Below are 27,463 nucleotides of genomic sequence, written 5' to 3'. Positions count from 1 at the left end.
AGATATATATGGCTGTGCTGAGCTTTTTAAAGAGAAGTCACCCGCCAAACAGGGAAAATTTATTGGAATGTATGTCATTCCCAACAGTGTCATGAATGTCTATCATCGGCGGACAAAAAGACCCTTATCCAATAAAAATTTTTAGACCACAATTTTGAATTCTTCCTCTTTTGAAAGAAAAAAAAAAAACACAAAATAGCAACTCTTTGAGTTATATTTCTACTGACTGACTTTTACCAGTAAGCTTGTATCTCCAGGTCTCAACATTGCATACAAAGAAGAAATAGGAGGGACATTAGCCACACAATGACAAAAAACAAATAAATAAAATGCCACAGAAAAGCCTGGAATTTTTGGTGGCAACACTCTGATGGGCTGTCAGAAACTGGAGTTAGTTTTGAGGCCTTCACGTAACACCGTGGTATAGCCTTAACCAGAAATCTTCAATTAACTTAGATATCCTTTCAGTCCTATGTGACAGCTGGATCCTCTCTGAAAGAAAACAGTTGGAACAGAGGCAACATTTTCAACAGCGGAGGGTGAAAGGAGACTGCCAATGTGTCTCCCAGCATCCCTTTCTCCTAAGCTTTGTAAGAATGGCAGGCAATCCATCGGATTTTACCTGGCACTGGCCCAGAGCTTTGTTTGCTCTTCAGAAATTAAAAAAAAAGAAAAAAACAAATAACAAAAACAAACAAACAAAAACTGAGAACAAGCTGCAGATATGAAAGCAAATAGAGGACAAGCTGAAGATATGAATGTAAATAGTTTGGAATGGCACCCCTACTCCCTTTTTTTTTCTAATGGATTCTCTGTCACTTAAACTGGAGTCCAGTTGCATGATCTTGGCTAACTGCAAGCTCCATTTCCCGGGTTTATGCCATTCTCCTGCCTTAGCCTACCAAGCAGCTGTCACTAAAGCTGCCCACCACCACACCCTGCTAATATTTTGTATTTTTGGTAGACTTCATGAGGGCTTCACCATGTTAGCCAGGATGATCTCCATCTTGATCTCCTCCTGATCTTCCCACATTGGCCACCCAAAGTGCTGTGATAACAGTCATGAGCCACCATGCCCAGCCCCTACTGACCTTTTTAATTAAGGCCTTTCCAAGTCCATGAACCAAAAACAAACTTTGCTGTCCCCCAGTGAACCACAATGTATCAGTCTCTCATTTTTAGGTGACACACAGATCTTTTTAATCTCAAGAAAATTAAAAATTAGGAATGCAAAAGGTGAGATGATAGTAAATGTTTAACATGTTAACTTCTGGTGGAGTAGAGTCAGTTGCCCACTTTGAGAAAGAGTCTGATATTTTTATGGACTCAGAAGGAAGAAAAGGTACTAACTAGTTTTGAAGAAAGCACTTCTCATCTTTTCTGGGTCCTTGTGCCTGGAACTATTAATGGCGGATGTAATGACTCAGCTTGGCTCAGGAACTTGGCCCTGAGCCACACAAGAGCTAAAGGGAAAGCATGGCCCAGGACCTTGGCCTGGGACCAGAGTCTTAAATGATAATTTACAGAAATTTGGCTCGGAGTCTGAAGTATGTTTAGTAATATAAGGTACCCTTTGTAACACATTGGAGTCCAATATGTACAAGTTCTAAAAAAGAGAGAGACTATTTCCTGGAAGCACTCTGGTTACACAAAAGACACAACATTTTAATGCGGGGTCTTGTTTGTTTTTTTTTTTTTTTAATCTGAGTAGCTGTGGGCATGTCTTAAGCACACACACACAAAAAGTTGGGCTTTTTTTAAAAAAAAATTATTTGCTTGGGCCACAGGATTGTGCAGGATTCTTAAATTTGTGTCTGCAGCCTGATATTTCAGGCTGTTTCTCTGCTTGCAGAAATTTTACCAATAATCCACCACAACTATGTAGCTTTTCTTTGTCAATACTATTGAAGACCTAGATAGTTTCTGAGAGTCAAAGGCACATTGTTTGAAGTTTCCTATGTGCAAGGCTTTTTGCCCTGTGAAACCACCCACATCTTTGTAAATACTGTAAAATTGTTCCTGCTTTCTTAGCAGTCATATCAGAAAAGCCCACAAGAAACAACTCCCAAACGTCAGAGAAACATTCTCCCTGGAAACACTCAAAACCACATTTGTTACCACAGGTTTTCTCATCTTCTTGATGCAGAGAATCTTTTAGTCACATCATCATCAGCTTTTCCAGTTTTTACATCCAACCCTCCACGTTCCTTACTACCCCTATAGGAAATGCCCAATGAATGAGGTGCCAGTAAAGTGCAAGTTTCTTTTTCATTACAGTACCTTAAACAAATAAAGTAAGACCTGGGGAAGTTTTCTGATACATCAATAAATATATAGAGCCTTTCTAATATCTAGCCCTTTTTTTGGTCTTAAATGGGAAGATGTTACCTTATTGCTGAGCCAAAATCTTACTGCTTCTGACAAATAGCCCTACAGTCAACAGAAAGATGCTGGGCCAAGATGCATTTCTTCTATAGCATGTCATAGTAAATAAAAAGCAGTCAAAGAGAGAAAGAGTGAAGAAAAGACAAGATGCTAATTTCCAGTAGAAAGAGAGACAGAGCCCTTTGAAAACCCTAATTTAAGTCATAGTGATCCCATAGATAAGAAAAAAAAAAAAGAAAAAAGGAAAAAGAAAGCAGGACATTGGCCCTTTAGATACCCCAGCTCTAAACCTTTCCCATGCCAGGGCTAGGATGACGTCCTTGGGTCTTTGCATTCTCTGGCATTTCTTCTTTTGTGGATGCCACTGCATTCTTCAGTGCCTGCAGAAGAGAAAGCTTGTGGTATGCCTGATTCACCTAAAGGTTTTCAGGGAGCTGTCACCTGTACCAGCACCTGACCTGCTTACCTCATCACAGATAACAGGCAAAGCTGTGTGCAGTGGCTGGACTGAACCAACACTCACTCATGTATCTGCCTCCAGTCTGTGCCTGGTGCATCCATAGCAAAATGAAACCTAAGCCCATAGTTTGAGCTGAGTGCAGCCTGTAAGATGGGTTTGTAAAATTAGAAAAGCAGGCTCAAGGGAACCTTGCACAAAGGTGCCATCATCCAGAGAGGTTCTTGGCTGGTGAAGTGACACACTAGAGATCTTGTGACAAAGATGACATTCATCACCAGTGGCCAGTGGATTATTCAATTATGCCTATGTAATGGAGCCTCGATAAAAACCAACAAGACAGGATTCATAGAGCTTTTGCATAACTGAGCACATACAGTGTTCTAGAAAATTGTGTGCTCATAAAAAGAGACACTGATAATTGTAAAGGTCATACAGAGTGTAGGGGTGTTTGTTTTGAAAGAAGTTTCTGCCTTTAATAATGTGTCCAGAATTTTAACTTATTAACTAGAACATACACTAAAGTAACCTAAATCTGCACATTCCACACATTAGAACCTGGATATTTCCACCAAAATGATTCCATAATTCACTAATGTGGTGTAACAAGTTTTACTTTAGAGCGATAAAGTTTTCTTTTGTTAACTGGGTAAGAACTAGACATTTATAAAGGAAAAGAAAATCAAGCGATATCTCACCACCAATTCTAGTCATGTGTTCAGTTTAGGAGAATGATCGTCAGTGGATTTTGTGCCATAAGTATTTATGCTAAAAGATAAGTCTCTTATAATTGTGTGTCTCTGAAGTGTTTGTGCCACTATAAAGTCAAGGGCACCATCTCTGATCGTTCTGTGTCTTTCTGGGAGGGAAGCTAAGGCTGCTTTATATCCCAATAGAGGTATTCTAGGATATAAAAGTAAGAAAAAATCAACATTATTACAGGATTCTCTGTCATAAACATCTAATAAAACACAACTCTGGTCTTATATATAGTAGTAGCCATAGATACATATTAGAGCTTGCAAGAAGAGTCTAGTACCCAACAGTCTGTTTTTATATTTGGGCTTAGGTGTGCCTAAAATAATCACATTTGGGCAAAGAGGCTGTTTTGTTACTCCTTGTAAAGCTACAGTGCTTAAAAATGATGTGATAATTTAAATACATAGCTTGGACATTTGCAGTTCTGTTTCCAAGCCTTAGCTATGGGTGAAATTGTTTTGGGCTATGAAGATGGATTAGGGCATCTTGCAACTCATGATGCATTTGTTGCCCCTTAGTTCTTGTGTCCTGAGCAGACAGACTGACAATTAAAACTCATCAATTTTATTTTCAACATACTTTAACATGGATTCTATCCCTTGGGCTGAGCTCCAGATCTTCCTCAGCACCTCACACTCTCTCTCATTGGCCTGTTCCAACTCCAACTTAATATTACAGCGAACGAGGGCCTTACATTCTTCCAGTACAATTGCATTGTATGAGGCAAGCTCCTTAATTTGAATCATAACCTCTTGGGTGAAAGTTCCAGTCAAAAATACCTGAGAGACCAGGCCTTTGGCGCATGCCTCCCGTGCTGTCAGCTTTCGCCCAGCAATTAACATTTCATTGGCAGATGCTTTACCCATCATTTTGGGGAATGTAATAGAAGAACAGCCATCTGGACTCTGTCCAAAGGTCGTATAAGGGGTTTGGAACCAAGCCTTTTCATTAGCCCACACGAGATCACAAAGAGGCAGGATGGATGCACCTAGTCCAATGGCAGGGCCATTGACTGATACAACAATAGGCTTTTTAAATTGAATAAAAGTATTCACAAAGTTCTTGATGGTGTCCACCATTTCAAGGCTTGCTGTGTTTCTGTCATTCCTTAAGTGCCTCACAAAGTACCCAAAATCAAGACCGCAGCAAAAGACACTTCCAGCTGCACTGAACAGCACGAGCTTGCTGTCATCTGCAGCAGCGCTATTCAGAGCATTAACCATTTCTTTAATTACTTCTGTATTCAGTGCATTTTTTTCTGTCGATCTAGTTGATAGCACTATCTGGGTGAATCCATCCTCTTTCTTCACTACAATGTCTCTGTATGTGATGGCACTTTCTGTTAGCCTTATGGTGAAGTGCATCTTCTTGATAAAAGGCTGGCCTCTGCTGTCATCAGTAATATTTCTTTGCCCACCTTTCACTCTTGGAACTGAGGTATGCATGTCTGTTGTCCCATTGGCTGCTAATGGGTCTATTAATACCACTATACCCTTTCGGGTAGCTGAACCTGTGGCCATAGAAGCAGTAACTGAGCCAGACATCTGCGACATTAGTGGGTGCATCTGAGTCTTGTTCTGTATTCCAGTCTGTTCTGCACCAGGATGTGACAAAGGGTCCCGGAGGAGTTTCCCTTCTGTCACCTTGAAGACCACCGTGTCCTGCTGATCTGCTGCAATAGGGTCCAGTTTCTCAAGTTTCTGAAAGCCACTCACAGTTTTCTTGTGGTCAAAGGGGCTGTCAGGTGCAAGGGTCTCAATAGTTGAATTTATTATCTCCATATTCTTTGTGTCGGAGAGAGTTGAAGCTGCCTTTCTCCTAACGTTCTTGCTGGCAGCAAATAACTTGCAGTTTTTGGACCTGTGGTGTTTATCAGTCACTGGAGTTTTAGGAGAGTTCTTAGAATAGTTTGCTTTTGTAGATCTGGAAGTTCTTCTTCTGGCATTGTTTGAAAAAATTCTACTGGTTGTAGTCCATGTCAGTTTTTTCTGTTTTTCAGTCTGTCGTCTATTAAAATCATGTACACATTTTTCACAGTTCATGAGGTGCTGCTCTGGTTCCCAAGTGTCATCCTGTTTGTCATAACCTTTCCACCGAACCAAATACTGTGTATTCCCATTTTTATCCTGTCTTTTGTCAACAATAGCTTCAACCTCAAACTCCTGGGAAGCCATGAGGAAAGACACGGGATTGGAACAGTTGCTGTGCCACCTTTGTTTCAGTTGCGTCTCCACATAGACACTTCTTTCTGCCTCCAGCTCTTCACCAGGTTCTGTGTATGGATGAACCTCTTCTATTTGGTCACCACTGGTGTAGTGAAAATTGTGCGAAATAGCAGCTATGCCATGTGCCTGAACCTCTCCACACTTACTGCCTGGTGGGACAGCTTGGGCTTTGTCTCATGGTGCATGACAGCTTGCTCAGTAGCCTCAGGTGAGAGTAGCTAAATCCACAGCCCCAACCCTCTGGTGTAGTACAGAAAGCTTTCTTCCTGCCTGTTACTCTTTTGTGTTTCTTTGTTTAATTGTGGTTGCTATGACGATTATATGGAACATTCTAATGTTATAACATTTTTAAAGTTACACTAGCTTACCTTCAGTAACATACAAAGCCTTTACTCCTGTATAATGTACCTCCATTATTTCACTTACTGAGTTCTCAAAATTATACCTTTATTGATTTTATGTCAAAAACACAAATTAGTGGTAGTTTTTTTATTAAATATATTTGTGTTTTAAGTTGTGTGGAGAACAAATTGTGGAGGTGCACATTGTTAATTGTTCGTTTTGTTTTGTTTTGTTTTGTTCTGTTTTGTTTTGTTTTGAGATGGAGTCTCGCCCTGTCAACGAGGCTGGAGTGCAGTGGTGCGATCTTGGCTCACTACAAGCTCCGCCTCCCGGATTCACGCCATTCTCCTGTCTCAGCCTCCCGAGTAGCTGAGACTACAGGCACCTGCCACCTGGCCCGGCGAATTTTTTTTTGTATTTTTAGTAGAGACGGGGTTTCACCGTGTTAGCCAGGAGTGTCTCGATCTCCTGACCTCGTGATCCACGCACCTCAGCCTCCCAAAATGCTGGGATTACAGGCGTGAGCCACTGCGCCCGGCCAAATTTTTTATCTTACATATTTGTTCATGTATTTATCTTTACCTTAATCTTTGCTTGTTCATACTGCTTTTGAGTGTCTGTCCATTCTACCCTGAAGTACTCCATAAGACATTTCTTAAAGGGTAGTCTACTTGTAAAAGGTGCCAGTTTGTATATGGGAATGTCATAATTTGTCCCTCACCTTTGATGGACAGTTTGGTGGATCATAATGTTTAGGCTTGACAGTTTTTTCTGACATCACTTGCAATATATTAGGCTACTGCTTTCCATCGTTTTAGTTTTCAGATAAGAAATCTACTGCTTTTCAGTGGTTATTCAGATAAGCGATCCACTGGTTATTTTTAGGGTCCCTTTTACATGACTAGCTACTTCCCCTGCTTCCCTTGAAAATCCTCAAGATTCTCTTTGTATTTATTTTAGACAGTTTAATTATCAGGTAAGTTTGAGTTTGTTTCTTTGAGTTTTTGTTACTTGGAGTCTGTTGAGCTCCTTGGGTGCTTACTTATTGTCTTAAATTGTTGCATTCTTTATGACTATGTTGTTAAATAGTATCCATGATTTTTTGTCTCTTCCTTGGAACTTCCAAAATGCGTATGTATGGCTGCTTGATGGTGTCCCTCAGGTTTCTAGGCTGTATAAATCTGCCTTGCCCCTTTTCAGACTCCATTGGTGACCACTATATGGTTGACTGACCCCAAGGGTGTGTATCACAGTGTGGGGACAGTGTGTCAGTTGGTCTCGCAAGGCTGATGCGTCCCAGAGCTCAATTCCCAGACTTCAATCATTGCAGTCTCATTAGTGCACTACGATCTAGAAATCTCTAATTGTGAGGTATCACACAGAGTTCTTTGTCTCATGGCCAAGAAAATTCAGGAGGATGGATGCAAAAAGGTTGAATCAAAACTTTTATAAGTGAAAGTAAAAAACTCTTCACAGTGAGGGGTGAAATGTGAGTGGTTTACCTACTATGAGGCTGTGCTTTACGGTTTCTAAGGGCAGAGAAGTAAAGAAATGTGCTTAGTGTTCTTGGAGTAGGCGTTATTTGGCTTGGCCCTGAAACTTGGCCTTGGATTCATCTGGAGCTGAAGTGATGATTTGTAGAAGCTACAAGGCTCAGCCTTGGAACTTGGCCCTGGACCAAGAAGGAGCTGAAGTGACAGCTTGGCCTGAGACCTTGGCCTGGGATCAATCAAGGGATGAAGTAATGTCTCATGGCCACAATAATTAAGGAGGCTGGATGATGCAAAGTTCAAGTAGGAACTAAAGTAACACAACAGCCATCTGGACTCTGTCCAGATGTCATATAAGGGGTTTGAAACCAAGGCTTTTCATTAGCTCAGAAGAAATCACAAAGAGGCAGTGTGGATGCACCTATTCCAAAGGATGGGCCACTGACTGATACAAAAACAGGCTTTTAAAATTGATTGAAAGTATTCACAAAGTTCTTGATGGTGTTCACCATCTCAAGGCTTGTTCTGTTTCTGTCCTTCCTTAAATACTTCAGAAAGTACCCCAAATCGAGACCACAGCAAAAGACACTTCCAGCTGCACTGAACAGCACAAGCTTGCTGCCACCCACAGCAGCCCTATTCAGAGCATTAACCATTGCTTTAATTACTTCTATATTCAGTACATTTTTTATGTTGATCTAGTTTATAGGCACATCTGGGTGAATCTGTCCTCTTTCTTCACTGCAATATCTCTGTATGTGCTGGCACTTTCTGCTAGGCCTATGATGAGGTACATCTTCTGGATAAAAAGCTGGTCTCTGCCACCGTCAGTAACATTTCTTTGCCCAACTTTCACTCTTGCAACTAATGTATGCACATCTGTTTTTCCATTGGCTGCCGATTGGCCCATTAATACCACTATACCTTTTTTGGTAGCTGAGTCTGCAGCCATGGAAGCCGTAACTGAGCCAGACCTCTGAGAAAATAGTGGTTGAATCTGGGTCTTGCTCTCTATTCCACAATGTCCTGCCCTGGGATCTGATAAAGCCCTGATGATCTTCCCTTCCTCCTCCTTGAAGACCACTGTATCCTGCTGATCTGCTGCAATAGGGTCCAGATTCTAGAGTTCCTGAATGCCACTCACTGTGTTCTTGTTGTTAAAAGGGTTGTAAGGGGCAAGTGTCTTTCTTGATAGTTGAACACAGTAGCTCCATATTCTTTGGGTCGGACAGAGGTGACCCTGGATTACTGCTAACATTCTGGCTGGCAGAACATAACTGGCTGCTTTTGAATTTGTGGTGTTGGCCAGACACTAGCGTTTTAGGAGTATTCTTAGAAAAGTTGGGCTTGGTAGATGTAGAAGTTCATCTTCTGGTATTGTTTGAAAAAGTTCTAGTTGTTCTGGTCCATGCCACTTTTTTACTTTTTCTGTTTTTCAGTCTGTCATCTGTTAAAGTAATATATATATTTTTGACCGGTGCTGCTCTGGTTCCCAAGTGTCATACCGTTTCTTCTTAACCTTTGCAACACCAAAAATTTTTGTTGTTGTTGTTGTTGTTTTGTTTTGTTTTTTTTTTTAGACAAAGTCTTGAGCTATCACCCAGGCAGGAGTACAGTGGCACAATTGCACAATCTCGGCTCACTGCAACCTCCACCTCCTGGGTTCATGCGATTCTCCTGCCTCAGCCTCCCGGGTAGCTGAGATTACAGGGGCCTGCCACCACGCCTGGCTAACTTTATGATTTTTAGTAGAAAGAGGTTTTCACTGTATTAGCCAGAATGGTCTCCATCTCCTGAACTCGTAATCTGCCCGCCTCAGCCTTGCAAAGTGCTGGGATTACAGGCATGAGCCACTGTGCCTGGCCTCTGTCTTTCCATTTTTGTCTCATCTTTTGTCAACAATAGTTTCAACCTCAAACTCCTGGAAAGCCAGGAAGAAAGACACAGGATTGGAGCCATTGCTGTGCCAAATTTTTTCCATTTGCGTCTCCACATAGCCACTTCTTTCTGCCTCCAGTTCTTTACCAGGTTCTGCGTATGGATGAGCCTATTCTATTTCATCACCACTGACGTAGTGAAAATTGTTTGAAATAGCAGCTATGCTATGGGCTTTAGGCTCTCCACAATTATGCCCTGGTGGGACAGCTTGGGCTTTGTCTCATGGTGCATGATAGCTGGCTTAGTAGCCTCAAGTGAGAGTAGCTAAATCCACATCTCTTACTCTCTGGTGTAGTACAGAAAGCTTTCTACCTGTCTGTTACTCTTTTTCTTTTTTAATTGTCATTGATACTGTGATTACATTGAATATTCTAAAGGTATTCCACTTTTAAAGTTATACTAGCTGACTTTCAATAACACACAAATCCCTTAACCCTGTATAACTGCACCCCCATGATTTCCTTATTGAGTTCTCAAAATCATACCTTTATGCACTGTATGTCAAAAACGCAAGTTAGTGATAGTATTTTTATTAAATATATTTGTGTTTTAAATTGCATGGGAAACACATTGTGGAGGTGTACACTGATATTCTTTATGTTTTATAATAGCTTATATATTTATCTTTACCTTAATATATATCCATTCATACTGCTCCTTATTATCTGTTCATTTTACCGTGAAGTATCCCATAAGGCATTTTTTAAAAAGATAGTCTACTGGTAAAATGTCCCAGCTTTTATCTGGAAATGTCATAATTTCTCCCTCACTTATAAGGGACAATGTTTTGAACATAAGATATCTGTTCAAAAGTTTTTTCTCACATCATTTGGAATATGTTAATCTATTGCTTTCTGTCCTCTGAGTTTTCAGATAAGATATCTGCTGATTATTTTTGAGGGTTACTAGCCAGTAACATAACTAGCCACTTCTTTTGTTGCTTTCAGGATTTTCTCTGTCTTTCTTTTGAAGAGTTTAATTATCATATAATTTGAGTTTGTTTATTTGAGTTTCTCTTACTTGGAGTTTGTTGCCTTTGACATTCTTTAACATTATTGTTTCTAAATAGTCTTCCTGATTCTTTTTCTCATCCTTTGAACTTCCAGTATGCGTAATATGGCTGCTTGATAGTGTTCCATGGCATTTTAGGCTTTATTCCCATTGCTTTATACTTTTTCTATCATGTCCTAACTTAATTATGTCAACACCCTTTCTTTGGTTTGCTGATAGTTTGTTCTTCCCCCAGCTCAAGTCTGCTTTTAAATATCTGTAGTGAATATTTTTTTCTTTTTATCCCTAGATTTTTTTAGGTTTCAAAATAATTTTACTTTTTTATTAATTTTTGTTCATATTTTTTTTGTAGTTCTTTTGTTTCTTCTATTAGCTTATTCTGAAACTTAATTTTAAATATTATGTTTCTGTAAGACCACCATTTGGGCTGTCTAAAAAAAGTTTCAGACCATAATTTTTTTTTACTTCTTAAAATGAGCCATACTTCTCTGCTTCGCTGTGTGGTTTATCTCTAGACTTTTTTAGGTTTTAAAATAATTTTACTCTTTTGATTAATAATTTTTGTCCGTAAGTGTTTGTGCTTCTTTTGTTCATTCTATTAGCTTATTATGTAGCTAATTTTAAATATTATATTTTAGTAAGGCTGCCATTTGGGCTGTCAAAAAAAGCTTATTTTTTCATAATTATTTTGTAGTTGTTATTAAAATGAGCCATACTTGTCTATTTCACTCTGTGGTTTGTGATTTTGCTGGTGCTGAAAAAGAGCATTTAAATTTTAAAGTGCTGTGACTTTGAAAATAAGATTTTCTACTTCTATGGTTTGGTAGAGTTTTGTTTACTCATTATATAGGCTCTTTCTCTCCTGTAAATCAGCTGTACTGAGCTTCGTCTTGGGTCTCTTTTGAGGCACATTGTTTTGAGGCACATATCGTTAAAACCACAATTCATTACATATATATGTGTGTGTGTGTGTGTGTGTGTGTGTGTGTGTGTGTGTATGATTAATTTTGAATGTTTTAGTCTACAAATGTCTTAAGAGAAAAAGAAGAACAATCAGGAAAAAATATTTTCACTTTTTAAATCTATTGAAAGTTGGTTGCACAGAGGGACAAAGAGCCTGCATAATATTTGGGGAATATAATAATGACTATTCACCTCTGTTGGGACCTCCATAAGCAGAAGCAGCAATCGGCAAATGAGTCCTCCTGAGATTTGGAGGACAGGGTCCTTTTTGTTTGCCATGGCTCTTGTAAGCTGCTCCAGAAATATTTGCAAGGCAGCATCCCACAGTGGTGGTTATTAAAGAATAAGTAGCTGCTGTTGATCTGTGCTACAAAATTGATAAAATTTAATTTTTATTTACTTTACAAATCTTTTTTTGGAAGCTGTAAACCTTCAGGTAGACTCGGAATTCTATAGTAATTGCATCATAGTAATCCTGCCACTGCACCCATTGTATAGTTGAAGGGACAGATATACAGTGATCCCTTGTACATTGCAGAACTTTCCCAGAATCTAGTATTATTTTACTTCGACCTATTTGTCTTTGCACCTGAAGTATGCCTTGCATAGAAGTCACAAAAGTGACTCCTTCGTTTAAGGGTACACTTGCAACAATGTGTGCCTTTTTAAGCAAGAGCTCACATTTACAGTTCTTACAAGTAAAATATTACATACTCTGACATGGACTTACATGTTTTCCATATGCGCTTTCTCTTGCTTGATCCTCAATTTCTTTTTTGCTCATTTAAAAAATCTGGATAATTTTTAAAAACTGCTGTTGTATTTTTCATATTACAATTTGATGTACTTGGGATTTCAATTATTATTGAAAACTTAAAATAGCCTACTATGAAGAATACTAACTTGTGTGAATAATTTAATGTTTAAGGTCAGCAGTATAAAAATATGCTGCTCTTGTAGTTTTCCATCCTTCTCAATTTATATTACTTTCTCTGATTTTATCTGTGCACACAGTATTTTTTGTACTCAGCAACTTAAATGTTTGTGACCAATTCCTGGCATTTCCGACCGAGAGTGACTTCTGAGTTAGGCAAAGGAGAAATAAATGTTTATTTTATCAAATTTTCATATATCCTCTAGAAAGACTGGGAAAAAAAAACACAATAATTTAGCACATAAGGGTTTCTTTGCTTTTATGAGAAGCAGGAATCAGGTCCTCATTTTGACAATGGGGATTTCAATTCTGTAGGCTTCATCTGTGCCTAGGAGGTGATATGAAAATCCTTAAAGAAAAAAAAACTTCACCATTTTATAATTGTCTTTCTGGATTAAATGTTTACTTGGTTTATATAAACTATTGATTTTCAGGGTCCAGACTGTTTTTGATGGTTTGAAACTTTTTTTTTTTTTTTTGGAATGGTTTGAAACTGCCATCCCTGCCGTTTTACTTTTATTTTTATCTGCGAAGCACTGAGTGTTTTCTAATTTCAGAGTTTATTGTTATTTATGAGGTTTATGTTTTGTCTCTTGTTTAAAACACTTAAAGTGAATGTTACATTTCCAATTTGCAATCCCCGGTGTTAGGTTTTTGTTTTAGTGGTCATTTTATAAAGTTTTTGTTTTTTTATTAAGTGAAATTATCAATTTTGTATAAAATGTATGAGGTAAGATTCTCTGTTATAAAGTACATTTTGGTTTTTGTAAAACAAACATACAATAAGTGGCTTACAAAGTGACTTTCAAATAATTGTCTAAAGAAAATAATAAGAAAATAATGTAAGCATGCAGCAAGATCAATAAGTACAATGATTCCTGGTGGAAGGCTGTATAAATTGTTTTTAAAAAGCCAGCTCCCTGTGGCTGCAGCAGGCTGTAGAAGGGGGAAAATTATAGAGGATGAGCTCATAGAGGTAACAGACAGTCCATGTGATTTTCTAGGGTTTTTATAGGTCTTCAGATTTTACTTTAGACTTCACCCTAACCCTGGTTTGTGACTCAAAGTAGAATTGGTAAGGTTGTTACTAGCATCTATTGCTGAGAGGTTAGAAATGCTGCTAAATATCCTAAAATCTTGAGTCTCAGGCACCTTTGAGAAGTTAACAGTGTTGAAATATCTCTCGAGAAAATTATTTTTAAAAGCTCACATTTAGAACTCTTTGATGTTATATTTTGAAGATTTCTTAACTCCAAGTTTGGTTTCCGTATAGCAGAAGGATTTGAAAAAGTGTACATAAGTTCCATTGATTCAACTTAGGGTAAACATTAGTAAAGTAAGGTCAGTTCAGTTAATCAATGATTAGAAACTAAATGATATATTTCTTATTTCTCTGCTTTTCCTTCCAATTGCTTTTTCAATATTTTTGTAAAACATGAGTGTGAAAAAATAAAACCCTAGTCAGCCTCTGTTTTGGAGGTACCAAGGGAGAAATCTCAATGAATGGTATTTGGGATGGAGCTAATCTTTCATACAGTTGAAAGGCATAAATAATACACGTGCATACAGGTGCATTGGCACACTATATTATGGATACACATTGTGCGTTCAGAAAGCACAATGTGTATCCATAATACAGTCATGAATGATCCTAGTCATAATATAGTCATGAATGATCCTGGGATATTACAATAAGCAAGTCAAATGGAAACAAAGTTTGCAAGGATTATAGCTGGGGTTATAGGATTTTCAATTTTGCTAAAGTTGTTTAGTAGAACCAATATTCAAGTATCTCCTACTTTTAAAAAAATTATTTGATAGAAGTTTGCATAGTGGACAGCTTTGATCAGAATCATTAGTTCTTTGCCAACGTAATAAAAGTATGCATTCACAAAAAATGCATATTAGACAATAAGAGAAAATAAAAATCAATGAATGAGGAAACTGATGTAATAGGAACAATTTCTGAAAATGTTAAGATAAATCCAAAAGGAGGTGAATTTCTACAGTGGAAAATCTTTCTCATTTCAATCAAAAATTTGTTTCAGAACATTAGCAAGTAGCAGCAACATGGTAATTATCCAGATTTACACCGTTTCCTTAGTTCCTACTTAGCGCCTGAGATGTAGGCTCTGTTGCTGATGCTAGGGCCTTCTCCATGAGGCAGAACTCCTACCCATATAGGGCTTGCTTTTTCTCCAAGGTTAATAAAATGCCATTGAACACCTAAAAGGAAACGGCAAGTTTATTTTTTTTTTTGCTTAATATACTAAGGGAGAGCTCTGCTGTTTAGACACATTCTTGGAACAATGCAGAGATTGTGAAATTGAGGCATTAACAGACATTAAGTTGTGCACAGAAGCTGGCATTATTTGTAGAAACAAAGTTGTTCAGCTAAAATTTGTAGTGAAAGAGGAATATTTATTGAAATCTGTGACTGACCTGATTTTTCAAAGTGCTGGCACTGTTTTATTATTATTAGTGTTACTATCACTATTATTACCTGTAACAGCTTTTTCACTAAGGAAGTTAAGCTTTATAGATCACTTAAATTTAAACCTGAATTTGATGGGTACATTTTACAATGATTGCAGAACCACTATTTACTAAATATTTCTGAAAGTCTAAATTGTCATTCTCTAAGAAGACATAATACACCTTTGTTTTTAAAGAAATGAAGAGTATTTACTAATTGGTAACCGTTTGTTAAATAATTACTCTGATATATGTTCAAGAGCCTTGTAAGTAAGTAAATAGGAAAATAAGTACTTTAAAGGTTTTTTTTTTTTTTTTTTTTAACATAGATGCATATGGACCACTGAAGCACATACGCACATGTGTATTGTGTATATATGTCAGGATTTTTTTTATGGAATTAGTTTATGGCATCACCATCAAACAAGCTGACTTATTAAAAGAAGGTTTATAGTTTTAATATTTATTCAAATAATGTTTTTTGATTGTATCCTAGGGATAGTGATCAGCTCAAAACCTGAAGGAAGAAGATGGGTGACTTCTCCATTTCCAACTGAGGTACCAGGTTCATCTCACTGGGAGTGCTGGGAAGTGGGGCAGGACAGTGGGTGCAGTGCATCAATTGTGACCTGAAGCAAGGTGAGGCATCACCTCACCCGGGAAGCAAAAGGGGTCAGGGAATTCCTTTTCCTAGTCAAAGAAAGGGGCACCTGGAAAATCAGGTCACTCTCACCCTAGTACTGTGCTTTTCTAATGGTCTTAGCAAATGGCACACCAGAAGAAGATATCCCATGCCTGCATCAGAGGGCCCTACACTGTTGGAACCTCGCTCATTGCTAGCACAGCAATCTGAGATCAAACTGCAAGGTGGCAGCATGGCTGGGGGAGGGCGTCCACCATTGCCAAGGCTTGAGTAGGTAAATGAAGCAGCTGGGAAGTTCGAACCCAGTGGAGCCCACCACAGCTCAAGGAGGCCTGCCAGCTTCTGTAGACTCCACCTGTGGGGGCAGGGCACAGCCAAACAAAAGGCAGCAGAAACCTCTGCAGACTTAAATGTCCCTGTCTGACAGCTTTGAAGAGTGTAGTGGTTCTCCCAGCACGCAGATGGATATCTGAGAACAGACAGACTGCCTCCTCAAGTGGGTCCCTGGCCCCCTGGTAGCCTAACTGGGAGGCACCCATCAGTAGGGGCAGACTGACACCTCACATGGCCAGGTACTCCCCTGAGACAAAAATTCCAGAGGAATGATCAGGCAGCACCAGTTGCTGTTCACCAATATCCGCTGTTCTGCAGCCTCCGCTGCTGATACCCATGAAAACAGGGTCTGCAGTGGACCTCAGCAAACTCAACAGACCTGCAGCTGAGGGTCTTGACTGTTAGAAGGAAAACTAACAAACAGAAAGGACATGGACACCAAAACCCCATCTGTACGTCACCATCACCAAAGACCAAAGATAGATAAAACCAGAAAGATGGGGAAATAATAGAGCAGAAAAACTGGATGCTCTAAAAATCAGAGCACCTCTCCCCCTCCAAAGGAACACAGCTCCTCACCAGCAATGGAACAAAGATGGACGGAGAATGACTTTGACTATTTGAGAGAAAAAGGCTTCAGATGATCAAACTACTCTGAGCTAAAGGAGGAAGATCGAACCCATGGCAAAGAAGTTGAAAACCTTGAAAAAAAATAGACGAATGGCTAACTAGAATAACCAATGCAGAGAAGTCCTTAAAGGATGTGATGGAGCTGAAAACCAAGGTACAAGAAAAACGTGATGAATGCACAAGCCTCAGTAGCTGATTTGATCAACTGGAAGAAAGGGTATCAGTGATGGAAGATCGAATGAATGAAGTGAAGTGAGAAGAGAAGTTCACAGAAAAAAGAATAAAAAGAAATGAACAAAGGTTCCAAGAAATATGGGACTATGTGAAAAGACCAAATCTACGTCTGATTGGTGTACCTGAAAGTGATGGGGAGAATGGAACCAAGTTGGAAAGCACTGCAGGATATTATCCACGAGAAGTTCCCCAATCTAGCAAGGCAGGCCAACATTCAGATTCAGGAAATGCAGAGAACACCACAAAGACACTCGTCGAGAAGAGCAGCTCCAAGACACATAATTGTCAGATTCACCAAAGTTGAAATGAAGGAAAAAATGTTAAGGGCAGCCAGAGAAAAATGTCGGCTTATCCACGAAGGGAAGCCCATCAGACTAACAGCTGATCTCTTGGCAGAAATTCTACAAGCCAGAAGAGAGTGGGGGCCAATAGTCAACATTCTTATAGAAAAGAATTCTCTACCCAGAATTTCATATCCAGCCAAACTAAGCTTCATAAGTGAAGGAGAAATAAAATCCTTTACAGAAAAGCAAATGCTGGGAGATTTTGTCATCACCAGGCCTGCCCTACAAGAGCTCCTGAAGGAAGTGCTAAACATGGAAAGGAACAACCAGTAGCAACCACTGCAATAACATGCCAAATTGTGAAGACCACCGAGGCTAGGGAGAAACTGCATCAACTAGTGAGTAAAATAACCAGCTAATATCTTAATGACAAAACCAAATTCACACATAACAATATTAGCCTTAAATGTAAATGGGCTAAATGCTCCAATGAAAAGACACAGACTGGCAAATTGGATAGAGAGTCAAGACCCATCAGTGTGCTCTATTCAGGAAACCCATCTCACGTACAGAGACACACATAGGCTCAAAATAAAGGGATGGAGGAAGATCTACCAAGCAAATGGAAAACAAAAATAGACACGGGTTGCAAGCCTAGACTCTGGTAAAACAGACTTTTAACCAACAAAGATCAAAAGAGACAAAGAAGGCCATTACATAATGGTAAAGGGATCAATTCAACAAGAAGAGCTAACTATCCTAAATATATATGCACCCAGTACACGAGCACCCAGATTTATAAAGCAAGTCCTTAGAGACATACAAAGAGACTTAGACTCCCACACAATAATAGTGGGAGAATTTAACACCCTACCATCAAAATTAGACAGACAAAGTTAACAGGGATATCCAAGATTGAACTCAGCTCTGCACCAAGCTGACGTAATAGACATATACAGAACTCTCCACCCCAAATCAACAGAATATACATTCTTTACAGCACCACACCACACCTATTCCAAAACTGACCACACAGTTGGAAGTAAAGGACTCCTCAGCAAATGTAAAGGAACAGAAATTACAAAAAACTCTCTCAGACCACAGTGCAATCAAACTAAAACTCAGGATTAGAAAATTCACTCAAAACCGCTCAACTACATGGAAACTGAACCATCTCTTCCTGAATGACTACTGTGTACATAACGAAAGGAAGCCAGAAATAAAGATGTTCTTTGAAACCAACAAACAGCATCTCAAGGATGTGTCTTTGAGAACAAAGACGCAACACACCAGAATCTCTGGGATGCATTCAAAGCAGTGTGTAGAGGGAAATTTATAGCACTAAATGCCCACAAGAGAAAGCAGGAAAGATCTAAAATTGACACCCTAACGTCACAATTAAAAGAACTAGAGAAGCAAGAGCAAACACATTCAAAAGCTAGCAGAAGGCAAGAAATAACTAAGATCAGAGCAGAACTGAAGGCGATAGAGACACAAAAAACCCATCCAAAAATCAATGAATCCGGGAGCTGGTTTTTTGAAAACTTCACCAAAATTCATAGACCATTAGCAAGACAAATACAGAAGAAAAGAGAGAAGAATCAAATAGACACAATAAAAAATGATAAAGGGGATATCACCACAGATCCCACAGAAATACAGACTACCATCAGTGAATACCGTAAACACCTCTACACAAATAAACTTGAAAATCTAGAAGAAATGGATAAATTCCTCAACACATACAACCTCCCAAGTCTAAACCAGGAAAAACTTGAATCTCTTAATAGACCAATAACAGGCTCTGAGATTGAGAAAATAATTAATAGCTTTCCAATCAAAAAAAGTCCAGAACCAGATGGATTCACAGACGAATTCTACCAGACCTCCAAGGAGGAGCTGGTACCATTCCTTCTGAAACTATTCCAATCAAGAGAAAAAGAAGGAATCCTCCCTAACTCATTTTATGAGGCCAGGATCATCCTGATACTGAAGGCTGGCAGAGACACAACAACAAAAAAAGGTAACTTTAGACCAATATCTCTGATGAAGATTGATGAAAAAATCCTCACTAAAATACTGGGAAACCGAATCCAGCAGCACATCGAACAGCTTATCCACCATGATCAAGTGGGCTTTATGCCTGGGATGCAAGGCTGGTTCAACATACGCAAATTGATAAATGTAATCCAGCATATAAACAGAAGCAACGACAAAAACCACATGATTATCTTAACAGATGAAGAAAAGTCCTTTGACAAAATTCAACATTCTTTCATGCTAAATAGTCTCAATAAATTAGGTCTTGATGGGATGTATCTCAAAATAATAAGAGCTATCTATGATAAACCCACAGCCACTGTTATACTGAATGGGCAGAAACTGGAAGCATTCCCTTTGAAAACTGGAGCAAGACAGGGATGCCCTCTCTCACCACTCCTATTCAACATAGAGTTGGAAGTTCTGACCAGGGCGATCAAGCAGGAGAAGTAAACAAAGTGTATTCAATTAGAAAAAGAGGAAGTCCAATTGCCCCTGTTTGCAGATGATAGGATTGTATATCTAGAAAACCCCATCGTCTCAGCCCAAAATCTCTTTAAGCTGATAGGCAACTTCAGCAAAGTCTCAGGATGCAAAATCAATGTGCAAAAGTCACAAGCATTCTTAAACACCAATAACAGACAAACAGAGGACCAAATCATGAGTGAACTCCCATTCACAATTGCTTCAAAGAGAATAAAATACCTAGGAATCCAACTTACAAGGGATGTGAAAGACATCTTCTAGGAGAACTGCAAACCACTGCTCAATGAAATAAAAGAGGATACAAGCAAATGGAAGAACATTCCATGCCCATGGGTAGGAAAAATCAATATCGTGAAAATGGCCACACTGCCTAAGGTAATTTATAGATTCAATGCCATCCCCATCAAGCTACCAATGACTTTCTTCACAGAATTGGGAAAATCTACTTTGAAGTTCATACGGAAGCAAAAGGAGCCCACATTGCCAAGACAATCCTAAGTCAAAAGAACAAAGCTGGAGGCATTACGCTACCAGACTTCAAATTATACTACAAGGCTACAGTAAGCAAAACAGCATGGAACTGGTACCAAAACAGAGATATAGACCAATGGAACAGAACAGAGCCCTCAGAAATAATGCCACATATCTACAACCATCTGATCTTTGATAAACCTGACAAAAACAAGAAATGGGGAAATTATTCCTTATTTAATAAATGGTGCTGGGAAAACTGGCTAGCCGTATGTAGAAAGCTGAAACTGGATCCCTTCCTTACACCTTATACAAAAATTAATTCAAGATGGATTAAAGGGTGGAGCCAAGATGGCCGAATAGGAACAGCTCTGGTCTACAGCTCCCCGTGTGAGTGACGCAGAAGACGGGTGATTCCTGCATTTCCACCTGAGGTACTGGGTTCATCTCACTAGAGAGTGCCAGGCAGTGGGTGCAGGACAGTGGGTGCCATGCACCGGGTGTGAGCTGAAGCAGAGCGAGGCATTGCCTCACTCGGGAAGTGCAAGTGGTCCGGGAGTTTCCTTTCCTAGTCAAAGAAAGGGGTGACAGATGGCACCTGGAAAATCCTGTCACTCCCACCCTAATACTGCACTTTTCCAATGGGCTTAAAAAACGGCACACCAGGAGATTATATCCCGCACATGGCATGGAGGGTCCTACGCCCATGGCACGGAGGGTCCTATGCCCATGGAGTCTCGCTGATTGCTAGCACAGCAGTCTGAGATCAAACTGCAAGGTGGCAGTGAGGCTGGAGGAGGGGCGCCTGCCATTGCCCAGGCTTGATTAAGCGAACAAAGCAGCTGGGATGCTCGAACTGGGCAGAGACCAGCGTAGCTCAAGGAGGCCTGCCTGCCTCTGCAGGCTCCACCTCCGGGGGCAGGACACAGACAAACAAAAAGACAGCAGTAACCTCTGCAGACTTAAATGTCCCAGTCTGACAGCTTTGAGGAGAGTAGTGGTTCTCCCAGCACACAGCTGGAGATCTGAGAACGGGCAGACTGCCTCCTCAAGTAGGTCCCTGACCCTCGAGCAGCCTAAGTGGAAGGCATCCCCCAGTAGGGGCAGACTGACACGTCACAAGGCCAGGTACCCCTCTGAGACAAAACTTCCAGAGGAACGATCAGGCAGCAGCATTTGTGGATCACCAATATCTGCTGTTCTACAGACACCAATATCTGCCGTTCTATAGCCACCGCTGTTCTGCAGCCACCACTGCTGATACCCAGGAAAACAGGGTCTGGAGTGGGCCTCTAGCAAATTCCAACAGAGCAGTAGCTGAGGGTTGTGTCTGTTAGAAGGAAAACTAACAAACAGAAAGGACATCCACACCAAAACCCCATCTGTACGTCACCATTATCAAAGACCAAAAGTAGAAAAAAAACCCACAAAGATGGGGAAAAAAAACAGAGCAGAAAAACTGGAAACTCTAAAAAGCAGAGTGCCTCTCCTCCTCCAAGGGAACACAGCTCCTCACCAGCAATGCAACGAAGCTGGATGGAGAATGACTTTGACCAGTTGAGAGAAGAAGGCTTCAGATGATCGAACTACTCTGAGCTACAGGAGGAAATTCAAACCAATGGCAAAGAAGTTAAAAACTTTGAAAAAAATTAGACGAATGGATATCTAGAATAACCAGTGCAGAGAAGTCCTTAAAGGAGCTGATGGAGCTGAAAGCCAAGGCACAAGGACTACGTGATGAATGCACAAGCCTCAGGAACCAATGCGATCAACTGGAAGAAAGAGTATCAGTGATGGAAGATGAAATGAATGAAATGAAGAGAGAAGGGAAGTTTAGAGAAAAAAGAATAACAAGAAATGAACAAAACCTCCAAGAAATATGGGAGTATGTGAAAAGACCAAATCTACTTCTGATTGGTGTACCTGAAAGTGACGGGGAGAATGGAACCAAGTTGGAAACTTGGTTTCCAACTGAGTGTTGGAATACTCTGCAGGATATCATCCAGGAGAATTTCCCCAATCTAGCAAGGCAGGCCAACATTCAGATTCAGGAAACACATAGAATGCCACAAAGATACCCCTCGTGAGGAGCAACTCCAAGACACATAATTGTCAGATTCACCAAAGTTGAAATGAAGGAAAAAATGTTAAGAGCAGCCAGAGAGAAAGGACGGGTTACCCACAAAGGGAAGCCCATCAGACTAAGAGCTGATCACTTGGCAGAAAGCCTACAAGCCAGAAGAGAGTGGGGGCCAATATTCAACATTCTTAAAGAAGAGAATTTTCTACCCAGAATTTCATATCCAGCCAAACTAAGCTTCATAAGTGAAGGAGAAATAAAATCCTTTACAGACAAGCAAATGCTGGGAGATTTTGTCACCACCAGGCCTGCCCTACAAGAGCTCCTGAAGGAAGCATTAAACATGGAAAGGAACAACCGGTACCAGGCACTGCAAAAACGTGCCAAAATGTAAAGACCATCAAGGCTAGGAAGAAACTGCATTGACTAATGAGCAAAATAACCAGCTAACATCATAATGACAGGACCGAATTCACACATAACAATATTAACTTTAAATGTAAGTGGGCTAAATGCCCCAATTAAAAGATACAGACTGGCAAATTGGAAAAAGAGTCAAGACCATCAGTGCTCTGTATTCTGGAAACCCGTCTCACATACAGAGGCACACATAGGCTCAAAATAAAGGGATGGAGGAAGATCTACCAAGCACATGGAAAACAAAAAAGAGGCAGGGGTTGCAATCCTAGTCTCTGCTAAAACAGACTTTCAACCAACAAAGATCAAAAGAGACAAAGAAGGCCATTATATAATGGTAAAGGGATCAATTCAAAAAGATGAGCTAACTATCCTAAATATATATGCACCCAATACAGGAGAACCCAGATTCATAAAGCAAGTCCTTAGTGACCTACAAAGAGACATAGACTCCCACACAATGATAATGGGAGATTTTAACACCCCACTGTCAACATTAGACAGATCAACGAGACAGGAATTTAACAAGGCTACGCAGGAATTGAACTCAGCTCTCCACCAAGCGGACCTAGTAGACAGCTACAAAACTCTCCACCCCAAATCAACAGAATATACATTTTTTTCAGCACCACAGCACACCTATTCCAAAACTGACCACATAGTTGGAAGTAAAGCACTCCTCCGCAAATGTAAAAGAACAGAAATCTCAACAAACTGTCTCTCAGACCACAGTGCAATCAAACTAGAACTCAGGATTAGAAAATTCACCCAAAGCCGCTCGACTACATGGAAACTGAACAACCTGCTCCTGAATGACTACTGTGTACATAACGAAATGAAGGCAGAAATAAAGATGTTCTTTGAAACCAACGAGAACAAAGACACAACATACCAGAATCTGAGGGACACATTCAAAGCAGTGGGTACAGGGAAACTTATAGCACTAAATGCCCACAAGAGAAAGCAGGAAAGATCCAAAATTGACACCCTAACATCACAATTAAAAGAACTAGAGAAGCAAGAGCAAACACACTCAGAAGCTAGCAGAAGGCAAGAAATAACTAAGATCAGAGCAGAACTGAAGGAAATAGAGACACAAAAAACACTTCAAAAAATTAACGAATCCAGGAGCTGTTTTTTTGAAAAGATCACCAAAATTGGTAGACTGCTAGGAAGATTAATAAAGAAGAAAAGAGAGAAGAACCAAACAGATGCAATAAAAAATGATAAAGGGGATATCACCACTGATCCCACAGAAATACAAACTCCCATCAGCGAATACCATAAACACCTCTACACAAATAAACTTGAAAATCTAGAAGAAATGGATAAATTCCTCGACACATACACCCTCCCAAGACTAAACAGGGAAGAAGTTGAATCTCTGAATAGACCAATAACAGGCTCTGATATTGTGGCAATAATCAAGAGCTTACCAACCAAAAAAAGTCCAGGACCAGATGGATTCACAGCCGAATTCTACCAGACCTACAAGGAGGAGCTGGTACCATTCTTTCTGAAACCATTCCAATCAATAGAAAAAGAGGGAATCTTCCCTAACTCATTTTATGAGGCCAGCATCATCCTGATACCAAAGCCTGGCAGAGACACAACCAAAAAAGAGAATTTTAGACCAATATCCTTGATGAACGTTGTTGCAAAAATCCTCAATAAATTACTGGCAAAGCGAATCTAGCAGCACATCAAAAAGCATAGCCGCCATGATCAAGTGGGCTTCATCCCTGGGATGCAAGCCTGGTTCAACATATGCAAATCGATAAATGTAATCCAGCATATAAACAGAACCAAAGACAAAAACCACATGATTCTCTCAATAGATGCAGAAAAGGCCTTTGACAAAATTCAACAATCCTTCATACAAAAAACTCTCAATAAATTAGGTATTGATGAGACGTATCTCAAATTAATAAGAGCTATCTAGGACAAACCCACAGCCAATATCATACTGAATGGGCAAAAACTGGAAACATTCCCTTTGAAAAGTGGCACAAGACAGGGATGCCCTCTCTCACCACTCCTATTCAACATAGTATTGGAAGTTCTGGCCAGGGCAATTAGGCAGGAGAAGGAAATAAAGGGTATTCAATTAGGAAAAGAGGAAGTCAAATTGTGCCTGTTTGTAGATGACATGATTGTATATCTAGAACACCTCATTGTCTCAGCCCAAAGTCTCCTTAAGCTGATAAGCAACTTCAGCAAAGTCTCAGGATACAAAATCAATGCACAAAAATCACTAGCATTCTTATACACCAATAACAGACAAACAGAGAGCCAAATCATGAGTGAACTCCCATTTACAATTGCTTCAAAGAGAATAAAATACCCAGGAATCCAACTTACAAGGGATGTGAAGGACCTTTTCAAGGAGAACTGCAAACCACTGCGCAATGAAATAAAAGAGGATACAAAGAAATGGAAGAACATTCCATGCTCATGGGTAGGAAGAATCAATATCGTGAAAAAGGCCATAATGCCCGAGGTAATTTATAGATTCAATGCCATCCCCATCAAGCTACCAATGACTTTCTTCACAGAATTGGAAAAAACTTTAAAGTTCATATGGAATCAAAAAGGAGCCTGCATCACCAAGTCAATCCTAAGCCAAAAGAGCAAAGCCAGAGGCATCATGCTACCTGACTTCAAACTCTATTACAGGGCTACAGCAACCAAAACAGCATGTTACTGGTACCAAAACAGAGATATAGATCAATGGAACAGAACCAAGCCCTCAGAAATAATCTTACATATCTACAACTATCTGACAAACCTGAGAAAAACAAGCAATGGGGAAAGGATTCCCTAATTAATAAATGGTGCTGGGAAAACAGGCTAGCCATATGTAGAAAGCTGAAACTGGCTCCCTTCCTTACACCTTATACAAAAATTAATTCAAGATGGATTAAAGACTTAAATGTTAGACCTAAAACCATAAAGACCCTAGAAGAAAACCTAGGCAATACCATTCAGGACATAGGCATGGGCAAGGACTTCATGTCTAAAACACCAAAAGCAATGCCAACAAAAGCCAAAATTGACAAATGGGATCTCTTTAAACTAAAGAGCTTCTGCACAGCAAAAGAAACTACCATCAGAGTGAAGAGGCAACCTACAGAATGGGAGAAAATTTTCACAACCTACTCATCTGACAAAGGGCTACTATCCAGAATCTACAATGAACACCAACAAATTTACAAGAAAAAAATAAACAACCCCATCAAAAAGTGGGCAAAGGACATGAACAGACACTTCTCAAAAGAAGACATTTATGCAGCCAAAAAATGCATGAAAAAATGCTCATCATCACTGGCCATCAGACAAATGCAAATCAAAACCACCATGAGATACCATCTCACACCAGTTAGAATGGCGATCATGAAAAAGTCAGGAAACAGCAGGTGCTGGAGAGGATGTGGAGAAATAGTAACACTTTTACACTGTTGGTGGGACTGTAAACTAGTTCAGCCATTGTGGAAGTCAGTGCGGTGATTCCTCAGGGATCTAGAGCTAGAAATACCATTTGACCCAGCCATCCCATTGCTGGGCATATTCCCAAAGGATTATAAATCATGCTGCTATGAAGACACATGCACACGTATGTTTATTGCGGCACTATTCACAATAACAAAGACTTGGAACCAAGCCAAATGCCCAACAATGATAGACTGGATTAAGAAAATGTGGCACGTATGTGCCATGGAATACTATGGAGCTATAAAAAATTATGAGTTCATATCTTTTGTAGGGACACGGATGAAGCTGTAAACCATCATTCTCAGCAAACTATCGCAAGGACAAAAAACCGAACACCGCATGTTCTCACTCATAGCTGGGAGTTGAACAATGAGAACACATGGACACAGGATGGGGAACATCGCACACCAGAGCCTGTTTTGGGGTGGGGGGCGTGGGGAGGGATAGCATTTGGAGATATACCTAATGTTAAATGACGAGTTAATGGGTGCAACACACCAACATGGCCCATGTATACATATGTAACTAGCCTGCACATTGTGCACATGTACCCTAAAACTTAAAGTATAATAAAAAAAGAAAGCTTTTTGAAAATACTTACAAACTCTTTTATTTTCCATCCCTTTATATATTTTTATATATGCATGTATATGTGTGAGTGTGTGTGTGTGCCTGTGTATATGTATATATAAATATTTAGGGGAGGTTATAAGTACTTACGTACATGATCACAATAGGCTGCCTGCAAGCTGAGGAACAAGGAGAGCAAGTCTGAGTCCCAAACCTGGAAGAACTTGGAGTCCACTGTCTGAGAGAAAAAGTATCCAGTATAGAAGAAAGATGTATGCTTTGGAAGCTAGTCCCATCTCGCTTTTTGACATGTTTCTGTCTGCTTGATGTTCGCTAGAAGCTCATGAGATTGTGCCCATCAGATTAATGTAGATCTTCCCATTGACTCAAATGTTAATTTTTGGGGGGGGGGAACCACCCAAGAAACTCATCCACGATTAATACTCTGTATCCCTCAATCCAATGAATGAGACACTCAGTGTTAACCATCACAAGTCCACCCCTTGTTAACTCGAATCAAATCACATCTCCTGCTATAATACATAATCTTCAAATGCAGACAGAAATGAGGTAATAATTACACCTAACATAATACAATTATCCTCTTACAGCCAGGAATGCAGCAATCCCCAATCCAAACACTATTTCATAAAGTTTACAATACACAAATGTTGATAAGAACTCAATAAATCTTACGTAGCATGATAAAGGAAAATAAAAAAAATATTTTCTTAGTACATGTGTATACATGCACAAACTTTTTTTTTAACAAAAGAAGGAGGAAATACTTAAGACAATTAACGT

The 27,463-nt window shown here is 39.7% G+C and overlaps 1 protein-coding gene and 1 pseudogene across 1 annotated transcript; both read right to left on the bottom strand.

Moving 5' to 3' along the window:
• CDY2A (chromodomain Y-linked 2A) lies at positions 4,144 to 6,103 on the bottom strand. The gene has a single exon (NM_004825.2). It carries the CDS (start codon positions 5,773 to 5,775, stop codon positions 4,150 to 4,152), a length of 1,626 nt encoding a protein of 541 aa, NP_004816.1. The 5' UTR covers positions 5,776 to 6,103; the 3' UTR covers positions 4,144 to 4,149.
• Positions 7,973 to 9,591, bottom strand: CDY8P (chromodomain Y-linked 8 pseudogene; annotated as a pseudogene).

This window comes from Homo sapiens, chromosome Y, assembly GCF_000001405.40.
Source record: "Homo sapiens chromosome Y, GRCh38.p14 Primary Assembly".
Taxonomy (NCBI): Eukaryota; Metazoa; Chordata; class Mammalia; order Primates; family Hominidae; genus Homo; species Homo sapiens.
This window is presented reverse-complemented; position numbering and strand designations above follow the sequence as displayed.